Consider the following 16,110-nt stretch of genomic DNA (forward strand, 5'->3'; position numbering starts at 1 on the left):
TGAACTGGGTCAAGGAGGGCAACTGTGAGCTGACATCCTAACTCACACATTCACACATGTGTAGGCCACGTGAAGGGTCTGTAATTGAGACTGGGGGACTGGAGGAGGCGAATGAGCTTCTTATTAGGAGTGGGTGGGGACCTTCTTGGGGATCCAGCTGAAACAGAACTTTATTTTTAAAGAGCTTTAGATTGATGTCCCTGCTAGCCTAAATATAACTGAGCAGCCAGCTTCTTGCGAGCCAGGCCAGGCTTCCAAGCAAGCTCCAAGACCCTCTTTTTAAGAGAGGGAAAAAAAGAGAGAGGGAGAGGAATCCACAGATGGAAAAGGTCACACAGTTAGCCCTCTGAATGTGCTGGGAGGAGGGAGATGGATGAGCTGGTTGTGTACACTCTGCAGTCCCCTGGCCTCACCATCAAGGAAGAAAGATCAAGGGTTGCTGGGTGATGGGGGAGGGGAGCTGGCATCCACTTTGTACCTGGGATCTGCCTGGCCCAGTCGGGGACAAGTAAGACCCAGGCTTGTGCTCAGAGAGCTGACGGTCCAGTGGGAGGAAAAGGGTGCCGAGCAAACCTGCGCAGCACTGCAGTGCAGCGCAACTGATCAGTCCCACGTGACGCACAAGCAGAGGGCTGTGAGCTTTCAGAGGGGCCATTCCATGTGGCTGGGGGACCTGAACAGCCCATCTCAGAGAAGGAAGGGTTTCATATGGAGCTGGAGAGAAAACAACAGGAAGCAGAGACAGGAGTGGACAGGATGCACGTCGGGTACTCAAACTCATCAGATTTGACAGAAGTGCAAGAATGTGAGAGCAAGGGGGTTGGTGCTTGGAGCCTGAGATATTGTCCTTCAGTCTGGAGGTAAAGGGGAGGCACTGAAGAGTTGAGGGGGAAGGCAGCAACCCCACGTAGACTGAAGGAAGGCTAACTTGGCAATGAGGTGTAGGGTGGAGCTTCCTTGGGGGAGGGGAGAGCCCAAGAACACAAAGGTCAGCAAGGGGTCTGAGTTAGGTAAGGCGATGCTAGCTGCTGTAACAGACTCCAGAATCTCAGCTGTGTAAAACAATAGAGATTTGTTTCTTGCTCACATAAAGCTAATTTGGTAGAGGGCTGAGGTGTAGGGCTTTGCTTCTGGAGTAATTCAAGAATCCTGAGTGAGGGGGGCTCTGCTGTCTTCAACATGTGGCTCCACGGTCAGCCTGGAATTGACATTCATGTTGCCCAGGAGAATATGGAAGACCTGGCAGGAGGCTTTTATGAGCCAGGCATTCCACCGGCCAGAACTCAAGTCACCTGGCCCCTCCTGCATGCAAGGGTGGCTGATGGGTAGTCCCTGGTGGGCTACACATATCTGGTGGTCACCTCTGCCACAGGACAGGGACAGGGACTGTGATCTGAAGGAATATGTCAGCAATAGGAATGAAAAGGGAGGAAGCAGGCAGAGCGTCTATATTTAGGAATTAGGAGGAAGAGAAGCCAGAGATCCAAAGCAAAATAAGGCAGCTTGAGGGAACAGAGAGAAAAAGACAGCACTGCAGACACTTTGAGGAGGAGTGTGCTGAGACAGAACCTTCGGTTTGGCTGCCATAAGGCCTGTGGGAGAGGTGGGCAGAGCCAGGGTTTTGTTTTGTTTTTTTTGTTGTTTTGTTTTTTGTTTTTTGTTTTTTTGAGTCAGAGTCTCGCTTTGTTGTCCAGGCCGGAGTGCAGTGGCGCAATCTCGGCTCACTGCTGCCTCCATCTCCTGGGTTCACACAATTCTCCTGAGTAGCTGGGATTACAGGCCTGCTGAGTAGCTGGGATTACAGGCGTGCACCACCACACCCAGCTAATTTTTGTATTTTTAGTGGAGATGGGGTTTCACCACGTTGGCCAGGCTGGTCTGGATCTCCTGACCTCAAGTGATCCACCCACCTCAGCCTCCCAAAGTACTGGGATTATAGGAGTAAGCCACCATGCCCGGCCCAGGTTTTAAGGCTTTGGGAAGCAGCCAGCAATGATTCCCTAATACTTTCCGTAAGCACATCCATGCATTAGGCATGTGTGATGACATTAGCTTTACCTCCAAACACCCAAAGTGGCCCCAGAAGGCACCCCTTTCCAGGGACTCTCTGTGGTGCAGCAATGTGAATATGGGCTTTAGAGTCAGAAGATCTGGAATCCAGGAATAACCATGTCAACCTACGGCAAACACCTTAATCTCTGGGAGCCTTGGTTTCCTCATCTATTAAATGGGCAGACTGGTAGCTACTTTTCCATCTCATTGAAAGGGTTAGGAGTAATCCACTTCGTAAGGTGCTTAGCTCAGTGCCAGTACATAGTAATTCATGTAAGAAACATTTATTGTATATCTACTGAGGGCCAGGTGCCTTACTAGGTGTTGGGGACTCAAAGGAACCAAAATTCCTGCTCTCAAGAAGCTTATGCTCTGGTAGGGCTGAAGACACAGAAGAAGCACACCCTTAAAACATAGCATGATAAATGCAATGATAGTAGTATTTTTAGAAGAGGGAGACTCAGCCCTAGTTTGTTGGAAGAGGTGACTTACAGTGGAGAAGAAGAGTTCACCAAGGGATGGGCTGAAGTATTCCACAACTAAGGAAATATCAAAGAAGCAGCAATGTGTAGCAATGAACAGCAACTGGACTTCTTGTGAGTTTTGTCAGATTGCATCCTTTAAGGAATTGGCCCATTTCATCTAGGTGTATGTTGGGGTGGGTGCTGGGAAATGGCTGAGCTGGGAATCTCACAGTTTACTGTCTCTAACCATAAAGTTAAAGCAGAAGTGGCAGGAGGTGCAATGGAAAAGGTAGCCAGGATCCTGAATTTTGAAACGTTATCCATTGTGTTAATGGTCTTTACCCTGTGGGCAACGAGGAGCCCTTGAAGAGTTTTAAGCAAGAGACTGATTATGGTCATATTTGAACTCATCTTTTAATGAGTTCACCTTGGTTGCTATTTGGGTAATTATTTAAGGAAAGAATAGAGGAAAGGAGGCCCAAGACACAGTTCAGATAAAAGATGATGAAGGTCTGCAGAGATTGTACTCATGTCTGCCGTGTGTTGCATGTGTACCATATGCCAGCCCTGTCCTACGGGATTTAATTTCAAATTCCAATTGTTCACTGTTGGTATATAGGAAAGTAATTGACATTTTTGTACTAACTTTGTATCCTGCAACCCTACTATAATTGCTCGAAGTCCCAGGAGCTTAAGAAGTTAATCCTTTTGGATTTTCTACATGGATGTTCATGTCATTTACAACAAAGTTTTCTTTCTTCCTTCTGAATCTGAACACTTTTTATTTCCTTTTCTTGTCTTATTGCATTATTTAGGACTTCCAGTATGATGTTGAAAAACTATAACAGGGGAAATCCTTGCTTTCTTCCTGATCTTAGTGGAAAAGCTTTGCATTTCTCACCATTAAGATGTTAGCTGTAGATTTTTTGTAGATATTCTTTATCATGTTGAGGAAATTCCCCTGTATTTCTAGTTTACTGAGAATTTTTTATCATGAATGGGTGTTGGATTTTGTCAAATGCTTTTTCTTGATCCACTCAATAGAATCATATCTATTGATATGATCATGTGATTTAAAAAAAAATACAGAGACAGGGTTTCACTATGTTGCCCAAGCTTGTCTCCAACTCCTGGGTTCAAGTGATCCTCCTGCATTGGCTTCCTGAATTGCTGGGATTATAGGTGTGAGCCACCATGCCTGGCTGGGATTTTTTTTTTTTTTAGCCCATTGATGTGATGGATTACATTAACTGATTTTGGAATGTTGAACCAGCATTGCATACCTGAGGTAAATCCCATTTGATCATAGTGTATACTTCTTTTTATACATTGTTGGATTGAATTTGCTAATATTTTGTTGAGGATTTTTACATCCACGTTTGTAAGAGATAATTGGTATGTAATTTTCTTTTCTTATAATGTCTTTGTCCATTTTTGTTATTAGGGTAATCCTGGCCTCATAGAATGAGTTAGGAGGTATGCCCTCTGCTTCTATCTTCTGAAAGAGATTATAGCAAATTGGTATAATTTCTTCCTTAAATATTTAATAAAACTCACCAATGAGCCCATCTGGGCCTGGTGCTTTCTATTTTGGGAGGCTATTAATTATTGATTCAATTTCTTTAATAGATATAGACCTATTCAGATTGTCTATTTCTTCTTGTATGAGTTTCGCCAGATTGTATCCTTTAAGGAATGAGTCCATTTCATCTAGGTTATCAAAATTTGTGGACATAGAGTTGTTCATAGCATTATTTCTTCATTATCCTTTTAATGTCCATGGGATCTGTAGTGATGTTCCCTGTTTCATTTCTGTTATTAATAACATAGATATTAGTCCTCTCTCTTTTCTTAGCCTGATTAAAGGTTTATTGATCTTATTGATGTTTTCAAAGGACCAGCTTTTGGTTTTATTCATTTTTCTTTATTGATTTCCTGTTTGCAATTTCATTGATTTTTCCTTTGATTTGTATTATTTCTTTTCGTCTCCTTCCTTGGGATTTAATTTGCTCTTCCTTTTTTAGTTTCCCAGATGGAAGCTTAGGTGATTGATTTTAGATCTTTCTTCTAACGTATGCACTCAGTGCTATAAATTTCCCCAAGCCCTGCTTTTGCTGCATCCCACAAATTTTGTTAAGTTATATTTTCATTTTCACTTAAATCCAAGTATTTTTAAATTTCGTCTAAGATTTCTTTTTTGACCCATATGTTATTTATAAGTGTGTGGCTTAATCTCCAAGTATTTGGGGATTTTCCAGCTATCAGACTATTTCTAGTTTAATTCCGTTGTAGTTTGAGAGAAAACATTGTATGATTTCTATTATTTTAAATATGTTTAGGTGTGTTTCATGGCCCATGGTCTGTCTTGGTGAATGTTCCATGTGTGCTTGAGAAGAATGTGTATTCTGTTGTTGCCGGCTGGATCTGTCCATTTCTGACAGAGGAGTATTGAAGTTTTTAACTGTAATAGTGGATTCATCTGTTTCTCCTTGAAGTTCTACCAGTTTTTGCCTCACACATTTGGACACTCTGTTGTTAGGTGCATACAAGTTAAGAATTATTATATCTTATTGGAGGGCTGAACCCTAAATCATTATGGGATGCCCCTCTTATCCCTGATAACTTTCCTTGGTCTGAAGCCTGCTCTTTCTAAAATTAATATAGCTACTCCTGTTTTCTTTTGATTAGTGTTAGCATGGTATGTCTTTATCCATTCATTTACTTTTAATCTATGTGTGTTTTTATATTTAAAGTAGATTTCTTGTAGACAACATAGAGTTGGGTCTTGTTTCTTGATCCACTCAGTCATTTAAGGAGACCAGAGGAGGATGGGAGTGGTGGGGGGATAAAGATCCAGATCCCTCTAAAATAAGCAAGTGCTTTAGCTAAACCATTCTACTCCTTATTTCAGAGGGGAGAAAAGAGCAGTCATAGATCCAAGATAAAATTCCTCCTCCCTGCTTTTTATTACTTTGTTTTATCCTACTCCTCTGATAAATGGATAGATATGTTCAGAACATATAACTCACTTAAAATAATATGAATGCTAAACATGTGCCAGGAAATCAGAGCAGCTCCTTGTGTTTTCCCCTTTTTAGGAGGTCTGGGAGGACCATCCACCCCTCCTGGAAGGCCCTGACTCAAACACTACAACATTAGATCCCAGCTTCCCCTTTGACAGAGTTTTGCAGGTTCCCAGGAGAGAGGAGTGGTCATGAAAAGGGGGTGGGGCCTCTCTCTGGATGGGAGAAGGCACTGGAACTAGTAAGCTATCATCTCTCAGATTCCGCTTTGGGCTTCGCCTTCCCCAGTAGCTGTCACCTGCCTTTCCCTTTGTTGTTGGGGCACTCTGCTACAACCTGCTTCATGCTCCCCACTTACTGCCTCCATTGTTTCCCTCCCACTCTGTGCAATAATTCCCTCTCCTCCCTTCTTCTTCCAGGGGCCTTGTTTTAGGCTTGACCTTGGCATTGCTGGCATCCTAATTCCTGCAACGAGCATTTACTTGTTCATCTAATTCATACAATGAGCACCTACTGAGCTCAGTAGTGAGTTCTTCTAATTCATACAATGAGCTCAGACATGAAGCTGCCCCTATGGCCTCAGGGATCAAGGAGGGCTGTGTAGGGCCATGGTGTCTGCCCCCTTTCTGGTGCCCAGGCAGTGGCCCCTGACTCTTGCCATAAGTCCTGTTCCTAGTCACATGGCCACAGGCTCTACCTCTTTCTGCCACTCCTCTGACCCTCTGAGGGACCCTGGAATCCATCAGTGGCTTTCAAGCCCCCTGAGGCACACAGGACTTGGTAAGACCATCTAAGGACCATCTGCAGCATCTTTTCTCAAAGGCCTGAATGCCTTCCTGGGGCTCTGCCTAGAAACAGGGCCCAGATTCCTGCTGTTGCTTTTTGAAGCCCAAAAACCACACTGAATGTTGCTCTCCTTCCTGAATCTCTGCCTAAAGATCAGGAATATGTGAGAAGAAGTGGAATCTCTGCTCCGTTTTCAATCTCCCCTCACAGATTAGTCTGGCCTCTCCTATGTATGTCATCAAATGTCAATAGTGCAGGTTTTGATCAGGCACTGGTTTGTCGTTTGCTTTTTTTTTTAATTAACTTCATCTCCACAAAAGTCTTATACACTCATCATAGGGAGTTTAGATGACACAGAACTATATAAAGAAGAGAATAAAAATAACCTATAATATCAGTACTCAGGAAGAACCACTGTTAGCATTTTGTAAGTTACTCTCCTGCACATATTGTTTTATATACTTGAGATTATAACTTTGACCCTACTCAGTTTGTTGGTTTGTTTCATTTTTTCACTGTGTTAAAATACACATAACATAAAAGTTACCACCTAAACTATTTTTAAGTGTAGTCTTCAGTGGTACTAAGTACATTCATATTATTGTGCAACCATCACCACCATCCATCACTAGAGCATTTTGATCTTTCCAACCTGAAATTCTGTACCCATTAAATATTAATTCCCCATTCTCACCTCTCCCAAGCCCCTGGCAAGCACCATTCTACTTTCTGTCTCTGTGATTTTGACTACTGTAAGTATCTCGTGAGTGGAATCATATAGCATTTGTCTTTTAGTGATTGGCTTATTTTACTTAGCATAATGTCCTTAAAGTTCAAGCATGTTGTAGCATGTACCAGAATTTCCTTCATTTTTAAGGGTGGATAATATTCTGTTGTGTGTATATACCACATTATGCTTATCCATTCATTCATCGACAGACAGTTAGGTTGCTTTCACATTTTAGCTATTATGAATAATGTTGCTATGAACGTGGGTTTACAAAAATTTCTTCAAGACCTTGCTTTCAGTTATTTTGGGTATGTACCCAGAAGTGGAATTGCTGGATTCTAATACAGTAATTCTATTTTTAGTGTTTTGGAAAACTGCCATACTGTTTTCCACAATGGCTGTACCATTTTAAATTCCCACCAATAGTGTACAACAGTTTCAATGTCTCTACATTCTTACCAACACCTGTTTTTCTCCTTTTTTTAGTGATAGTCATCCTAATGGGTGTAAGATGCTTGCTTGGTTTTTTAAGTTTACATTATATTGCAAGCACTGTCATTAAAAACTCTCCAGACACATCCCTCCTCCAATTCCTCTATTGTTGGAAATTTAGGATTTTTTTCTTTCAATATTTTTGCTATCATAAGTAAAATTGCAACAGAGAATTTGTGCATAAATTTCTGCTGCATTTTTGGTTATTTACATAGGCAAGGATTGCTAGATAAAATACAGGATGTCCAGTTAAATTTAGATTTCAAATAAACAATGAATAATTTGTTAGTGTCAGTACACTCAAAATATTCCCCGGGACAAATTTATTCTAAAACAGTATTCATCATATACCTGAAATTCAAAGTTTGCTAGGCATCTTTTTTTTTTTATTTGCCAAATCTAGCAATCCAACCATACGTACTATTCCCAGGAATGAAATTAATGAGTTAAAGTTGATGAACATTTTCAAGATTCTGGATGCATCTGGCCAAAGGGCTTTTCTGTAAACTAGTGCCAGGTTCCTCTCCACTAACAGTAAGTAAGAATGCCTGTTTTCTCACAAAAGTGGCTGCTTTGAGTTATTTCATTTAAGAATAAACAAAAGTTTGCTTCTTTGATAGGTGGGAAATGATCATTTACAAAGTTTTGACTATGAATGAAACTGACCTTTCATTCCAAAGGTTGGTCTTTTGTATTTCCTTTCATGTAAACTACGTGTCTGTCCTTGGCTCATTTATCTTTTTGTGTTTCTTGTCAAGCCATAAGAACTCTTAAAGGATATTAGCTTTGTGGCTTTCACATTTTGTTGCAAATATTTCTCCCAGCTTATTGTCTGCCTTTTAATTTGGCTTATATTATTTGCCAAAGTAAAGGCATTTGATCGTCTTATGTGTTCTAATCTCTAGGTCTTTCATGATTCTTCCATTGCTTTTAGTCCACAGCCCCTTCTTACTTAGATTACATATATCTATTCACCTGTATTTGCTTCAAGAAATCTGTGTTGATTCTTTTTAGTGTTTTCTACATTTAACCGTCTAAACTATATGGAGTGTCTTTGGAAATGGTGTTCAATGAGTTTCTAAATTATTTCTTCTCTTCAGATCTCTAATTTGCTTCAGCTATATTTGATGAATAAAATCTCTTCCTTCACAATGACTTGTGATGATACTTTAGCCTTATACATAAAGAAAAATCTATTTTCCTTAAAAGTGAGCTTCTCTGTCATTTAATCTGTCTGGGTCTTGCTATATTAACTATACAATGAGGCTATTTTATAATTCATTCATGTATTCAACAAATATTTATTGAGCATCTTCTGTGGGTCAGATATATATGTAAGATTTCTTAGCAGACTTAGCTGAGATTAAAGGAAAAATTAAAATAAAAATAAAGATTTCTTCCAGCATTAAAATTCTAAATATAAAAGAACTTCATTTATTCATCCTCAGATCACTGGAGGAAACTGACATAATTTGCTTCACCTGTTGATTTTTTTCATTCTTTTATATTAATCTAGTCTACTAATTTTATTCAGATCTTCTCCAGAACTTTTACCTCTTATTGCTACTGCATGTCTTATTGCATTGGCAAAAACTTCAAAATAATTGTTACATCATAAAACTATGTAATAAAAGTGATAGATGACACCCTTGTTTTGTCTCTAAGGAGAATGCCTCCCATTTTGTGCCATTAAGAATTTCTTGGCTTTTGGTTTAAGATAGAGGTATTTTTGTATTTAAAAAGTAATAGTCTCTTCTTATTTTTCTAAGAGGTTTTTTTTAAGTCAGGAAATACTTGATTAATTTTATTAAATATAATTTTAGAGCCTGTTAAGGTTATTGTATCATTCTTTATGAGTTTTGCATTTTGAAGTACAAGTACTACTAACATAGTGGGACTACATGAGGCAGAATTAAGATGAATACACACAGTCCTCACCACATTATATGGTGCTTTTGTGAACAGCAATTCTAAACTTGAAGTACATTTTAAAGCCTTGATTGACTGATTAATTTGTTGTTGTTGTTGTTGCCCAGGCTGGAGTGCAATGGTGCAATCTTTGCTCACCGCAACCTCTGCCTCCCAGGTTCAAGCGATTCTCCTGCCTCAGCCTCCCGAGTAGCCGGAATTACAGGCATGCACCACCATTCCTGGCTAATTTTGTATTTTTAGTAGAGATGGGGTTTCTCCATGTTGATCAGGCTGGCCTTGAACTCCCAACCTTAGGGGATCCACCCGCCTTGGCCTCCCAAGTGCTGGGATTACAGGCATGAGCCACTGCACCCAGCCACTCTGATTAGTTTTTTAAAAATTGAGCATATATATATATATATACGTATATATATATATACACACGTATATAGATGTGTGTGTGTATATATATATACACGTATATATACGTGTGTGTATATATATATACACACACGTATATATATATACACACACGTATATATATATATACACACACGTATATATATATATACACACGTATATATATATGAAAATGAGAAATTCGAACCCGCATGTGTGTGAGTAAAGAGTGTGCAGATGTTGCACAAAACTCTGTACGTGCTCAAAGTAGAATGAACCCACAAATATCCCACTAATACTTAGCTTTTATATGGCTGGTCTCCAAAGTAGGGTGTGTGCAAGTTGATTTATTGAGGTAAGAGGAAGAGATTAGAATGTCTATTTTGTATCTCATCCTTTAAACTTTTAATTTGTTATGGTGAAAAAGACATTCTAATCTTTTCCCCTTACCCCAATAAATCAACTTGCACACACCCTACTTTGGAGACCAGCCATATAAAAGCTAAGTATTAGTGGGATATTTGTGAGTTCATTCTGCCTGGGGCACATACAGAATTCTGTGCAACATCTGCACACTCATTTGAATTTAAATGTACAGAATTCAAAATGCCCTCTGAAGCTTAACGAAGAATTTTTAAACTAGTGGGACAAAGCTCAATAATGGTAAAAGCACACAAACACACACACACACACACACACACACACACACACACACACAGGGAAAAACAAGTTATTCAACTTTGCCTGACTTGGGGTAAGTTATGTAGCCTCCTTGGGACTCAATTTCCTCATTACTACAATGACAGTGTTGGGCCAGATGCTCACCAAGCCTCTTCCTGCACTGACATTTTGTGATGGCGATGACCCTGTGGGGAGTATCAGGTTATGGGAGAAACAGATCTACATGTCAGTCAGCAGGGCAACTCTGTTATTAGAAATCAAGCAGAGTGCAGTCCTAGGACTGATGACCAAGAGTCCAGTGTGCACAATCCTGGCTGTCTCCAGAGGCAACCCTCGCATGTCATAGCAATGGAACATGAAGAGGTGGAGATCTTTTGGAGTGATCAGAGAAAGGATTAAAACATTTTAAAATGAGTCCTCTGGGGAAAAGTTACAGAAATTGGATTCCTTGGGCACATTAGGACACATTAAGATGGATTGAGCTCCCAGCTCCAAGCTCCGAGCTCTGAGCATCTCGTGGTTGAGCAGCTTGCTTTATACTGATTGTGACAGTCTTGGGCAAAGCTCTTTTTGTTTCAAGGAACAGAAACCCACCCAAGCTAGCTCACAGAAATTCACAGCTAGGAACACAGGGGTAACTGGGACTCACAGGAATAGACACACTATCAGGACCTTGGGCATCTCCTGGGGGCTTTATGTTCTAAGCATTCTCTCTCTGAGCCTCTGCTCCATTCTCTACTCCCCACTTTGTACTCTCTGTTTCCACTTCTCTGCAAGATCAGCGCACAGATGGACATCATGGCCCCACTCCATACCTTGCATGACTTTTCAGCCTAAGTGTCCATTGGCCATTAGCCCAGTCTTTCCATTTTCAAGTCTAGGTTCCCCTGAAATGATGTATTTATCTTACTTAACCTTAGCTTTTTGTGCCAAGCCACATCAATAATTGGTCATCGTTGGTTAGCCAATAGATGGGTCACCCTTGGGTCAAGTGCCCACCCTTGGTCCAGTCATGTGTGAAGAGGGGAGGTGAGTCGCGTGCTCTCAGACAGGGCTGTATGGGGCAGATTTCCTCCAATCACTGGGGGAGCAGATTGGCCATGATGAACACCTTCCGCAAAGAGACCAACTGTCTTTTAACCTGATACTGATATGAGCACAAAATCAGTCTGACCCTGAGCCTTTATACAGGAGTAAGATGTAATAACACTTCTCAGGACACCCTTTGAAATAAGGTGAGACTCCTTCTGCCTTAAGACAGGCTGACCAAGGGCTGCCTCGCTATGGTGGTGGCCTGGGCTGCAGGGCTCCTGAGAGCCACCTCTTGGCCCATTGGTCTGGGAGACTCTAAAGTCACTCCCCCCGCAGAGCCTAATTTCTCCATCAGAAATGTCTGATCTTTGCTGATGGGTGGTTAGCTATTTGAGGGATTTACAAAGCACTAATTCTGTTTGACCACCGAAAGATTTTCCCTGCTTAAGAAGATGCTAAAAACTACCCAAGGACCTCTGCACCCTCTTGGACTGGCTTGACCAATTTTCATCCATTTTGAATATTCAATTTCTAGCTACTTCTCTGAACCAACTCACAACCCAGTGACTGACTTTTCATTCCTTAATCCTACATGTGACTCTTCTGCTCAGCATCCTGCTTAGAATCCCCAGGATCTTATAGAACACAGAAAATGGGACATTAATGAACAAGCAGGCAGGGTGATTGTCTGTGGTCTTTTACCTGTGCTGGGTTTAATCACAGTACCAGCCTGACACATAGGTGGGCAGAAAACTCAGTTTCCTCAAATGCAAGGGCTTTGAGAGCTTAGACTTCAAATTAGAGTGAGATCTATCTACCCCAAACAAAGCTACTCAGACACCTCACTATCTAAAATCAGACCAGAACCTGGGGATGAGCCAAGAAATGTCTAAGCAGCCAACATTATCTACAGAGGCCCATACTGTTGTGTTTAAAGTAGCATCTAATTCAAAACAACTAGTTTCTCAGAGGGCTGGATGGCCTATCACCCTTTAAGAAAGCCTGGATGAATCCTCTCAAAATAGGAAAAGCTAGGTTCCTTACAACCTATTTACTTTTTGTTTACACAGAATTTTGGCACATTTGCATATCTGGTTTCTCAATCCAGAACAGACTAAAAGAAAATGAGTCCTGAGATTGCTACAGGTATGAACAAAATAGCATTCTCCCTCACAACAGGGAAAAGTAACCACTACCACAGGAAGAGATCAGAAAATGATATAAAGTAGACCCAAGAACCTCAAAAGCATAGCAATATGAAGAGATACAAATGGCCACACATATCTCAAAGGTTTGGGCACTACTGGGTTAACAGTACAGTAACTGAAGTTTCTAAATATGACCCTAAGTAGAACAGAAATGTGAAATTAAGATCAGTATATTCTATTTTAAAACCTGGTAAGCATATGACTTTTTTAAGAAAAACTTCCATCCAAAATGATGAAATGTTTACATGTGATGTTTATTTTATTTTATTTTGAGATAAGGTCTCACTCTGTCACCCATGCTGGAGTGCAATGGAGCAATCATGGCTCACTGCAACCTCCACTCCCCCAGGCTCAGGTGGTCCTCACACCTCAACCTCCCAAGTAGCTGGGACTACAGGCGTCTGCCTCCATGCCTGCTAATTTTTGTATTTTTATGTAAAGATAAGGTTTTGCCGTGTTGCCCAGGGTGGTCTCAAACTCAAGTAATCTGCCCGCCTTGGCCTCCTAAAGTGCTGGGATTACAGGTGTGAGCCAGCATGCCCGGCCACATGTGATGTTTAAAAGGACAAACCTTAAGCTAGCTGGAAAGCTCCACTATCCAGAAGGATGGGTTTTGTTCTGGATAACTGAGGTTTTGCTATATAGCTGAAGTCGAACCCTCTAGACCACTTCTTAAAGGACATCAGGGAAGCTTGTCAGCCAGGGAAATGCCGTTGCTGTGACTTATATGCTATTTGGACGAAGCAAACGGGCTGAAGAAGGTTTGACTGTATTTGGTTGTAGGCTTCGCTTGGCACCGTCTCTTTAAAAGGCTGCCTGCCTTTGAACTAATCCTCTATTTATAATCCAGCTGGAGAGAGGCCTCGGCAATGTATACAAATTCCTAGAATTTGCAGAGTGCTGCTCACGTAAGCCCTGAACCCCACTCCAGAGCTTCTGCCTGGGCCCTCACTTCTCCAGCAAGGACCCTGAATCATCCCGGAACCGTCTTGGTGCTGTGGTAGACAGGCCACCTGGCACGCCCAGCGCCCCACATTCTTGGTGGGAAGCACAGGGCGCATCTGGGAATGGGGGCATGAGTTGGATTAGGCTCAGTAAACACCATCACTCACTCCTGATGGCCTGCACTGCTCAATGGCTCTTTCCTAGAGACCAAGGGTTGAGGCCTCAGGCACAGCTCACCTCTATAGGGCTGTTCCTTTCTTATAATTCATTCCCTCCCAACACGACGCCAACTTCACATTTTCCTTTCTTCCCCCCTTGCACAAATTATTGCAAGTCATGGCGATCTAAATATAGCCCGCAGTCTGCGCTCCAGATGCCGAGGCCACGCAGCCCCGATATTCTCCTGGTGTCTTTCCAGCCGCCTCTTGCTCTTGCTGTCCTTTCTCCTTGCTCGCCCTTGTTTTCTCCCTGATACTCCTACTCTCTGCCTCCCAGTCTCCCCAGGTCTTTCCTGTTTTTCCAGTTCAAAGGAAAGTTCTAAAAGCAAGGCCTGAAGCCTGGACGGCCCCCTCCCCAGCCCTCCAACAGCACTAGCTGTGGGAAAGGGATCCCGTCTAGAGAAGAGGCAGAGGTGCAGCATCCTCTAGGACCCTCGGCCATGCGTGCTGTGCGTTCTTGCCCAACCTTCACTTACTCGCTTTGTCCAGAAGTTGTTTATCCTCCTTCCTCCTCATCTGTTTCTTCTTGGATCCTGGACGCCAAAGAGTGACTGGCCACTCCTTCCATTCAATCACCTCCTGTGTTACTGGAAAATATGTTAGGACACCCTCCAAGTCATTACTTTCTTGAAGTTAAATGATATCAATTCCTTTTGCCTCCCTTCCATGGGCCTAGGTATCCAGAGCTTTCATCATCTGCATGGATTGTCTCTGTACCATCTCCAAGTTGGCCATATCCCCTGTAGGAAGTAGGGCCAGGCCTTGAGTCCTCTGTCCTGCTAAGGGTTTGACATCTGCTTTGTGAGCATAGGGGAGCAATTTACTGATACTTCTTAATCACAGGCCCCTAATTTAAAAAGAAGTGCTACAGTAATGATGTGTGTTCATACCTAACTTGAGGTCCACTCTGATAATAGGCTGGTCCTTTTCTTCACTGAAAGCAAAGCATTTGATTCACACGCATGTTTTATTCTATCCTTGTCAATATGCTTGTTCACTCACTATTAGTCAACTTTCTTAAGTTCTAACTTGGTGGGCTCACGGTGACCCACATCCCACAGGTGGAGAGTATATAACTATTAAGTCAGTCTGCTCATTTATTTATTCAAAAAGCAGTTATTGAAAGCTGGGTGCCTCGGTGCATGCCTGTAGTTTCAGCTACTCAGGAGGCTGAGACTGGAGGATGCCTGGAGGCCAGGGGTTGGAGACTGTAGCGTACTATGAGCATGACTGGGAATAGCGCACTATGAGCATGGCACCCCAGCCTGGGCAACATAGCAAGACCCTGTCTTTCAAAAAAACAAAGCCAAAAAACAGTTACAGGATACCTCTTTAGACCTAGCCGTGGATATACAAATAAGAATTTGCCTCAAGAGATACACAGACTAGTCCAGGGTTTCTCAACCTCCGTACAACTCACATCTGGGGCCACATAATTGTGTGGATGGCCCTGTGTATTGTAGGATGTCTAGAAGCATCCCTGGCCTCCACCCACAAGATGCCAGTAGCACCACCCCACACACAAATTGTGACAACCAAAAATGTCTCCAGCCATTGCCAAATGTCTCCTGGAGCCAAAATCACCCCAATTTGAGAACCACTGGTCTGATGAGATAGATAGATATGCAAATGATCATTACGGCTCAAAGAAGCCCTACCATGGAGACACGAACACAGGCCCATGCACAGAGGGCACTGGAGTTGAATTCTGAAGGATGGGTGCAATTTTTCCACGTAGAGACTATGCTGGAGAGAGGATATTCTTGGCAGAGAAACAGCATGTGCAAAGGCACAGGGGTACCACAGAACAAGTCAGTTGCCTGACATGGCAGCTACTGGGTAGGAACAAAAGGAGATGAGGATGAATGGGGGCTGGCCCCAGTGTCTAAAGGGCCTTGTGTGACTGGGATGCTTGCACTTGATCCTGAGGTTAGGGAAAGCAAGAAGGTTTGTAAGCTGGGAGCATGATTGTTGGCATGATGGCATGACGAAGAGAGGAAGCTCTGATGACACTCCAGGAAGAGATGATGTGGGCTTGAATGAAGGCATTGGTGCTTGGGAAGGGAACAGAAGGGGCAGGATTTGAAAGCTCTTTCTGAGGCAGAACGTGCAGGATATCTGAGTGGAGATGAAGACAGGGAATAAGCCCAGCGCTACAGAGCTGATGGA

At 42.3% G+C, this 16,110-nt stretch overlaps 1 protein-coding gene and 1 long non-coding RNA gene across 2 annotated transcripts in view; one reads left to right on the forward strand and one right to left on the reverse strand.

Moving 5' to 3' along the window:
* RAD51B (RAD51 paralog B) overlaps positions 1-16,110 on the forward strand; it is an 863,318-nt gene that overhangs the window by 818,362 nt on the left and 28,846 nt on the right. The window lies entirely within an intron of this gene.
* Positions 1-16,110, reverse strand: part of RAD51B-AS1 (RAD51B antisense RNA 1) — a 49,673-nt gene that overhangs the window by 2,373 nt on the left and 31,190 nt on the right. Inside the window, exon 3 of the long non-coding RNA XR_007064220.1 lies at positions 14,418-14,528. This is a non-coding gene — a long non-coding RNA (RAD51B antisense RNA 1). The remainder of the gene's footprint in view (positions 1-14,417; positions 14,529-16,110) is intronic.

The sequence above is a fragment of the Homo sapiens genome, chromosome 14 (assembly GCF_000001405.40).
Source record: "Homo sapiens chromosome 14, GRCh38.p14 Primary Assembly".
NCBI classification, from domain to species: domain Eukaryota; kingdom Metazoa; phylum Chordata; class Mammalia; order Primates; family Hominidae; genus Homo; species Homo sapiens.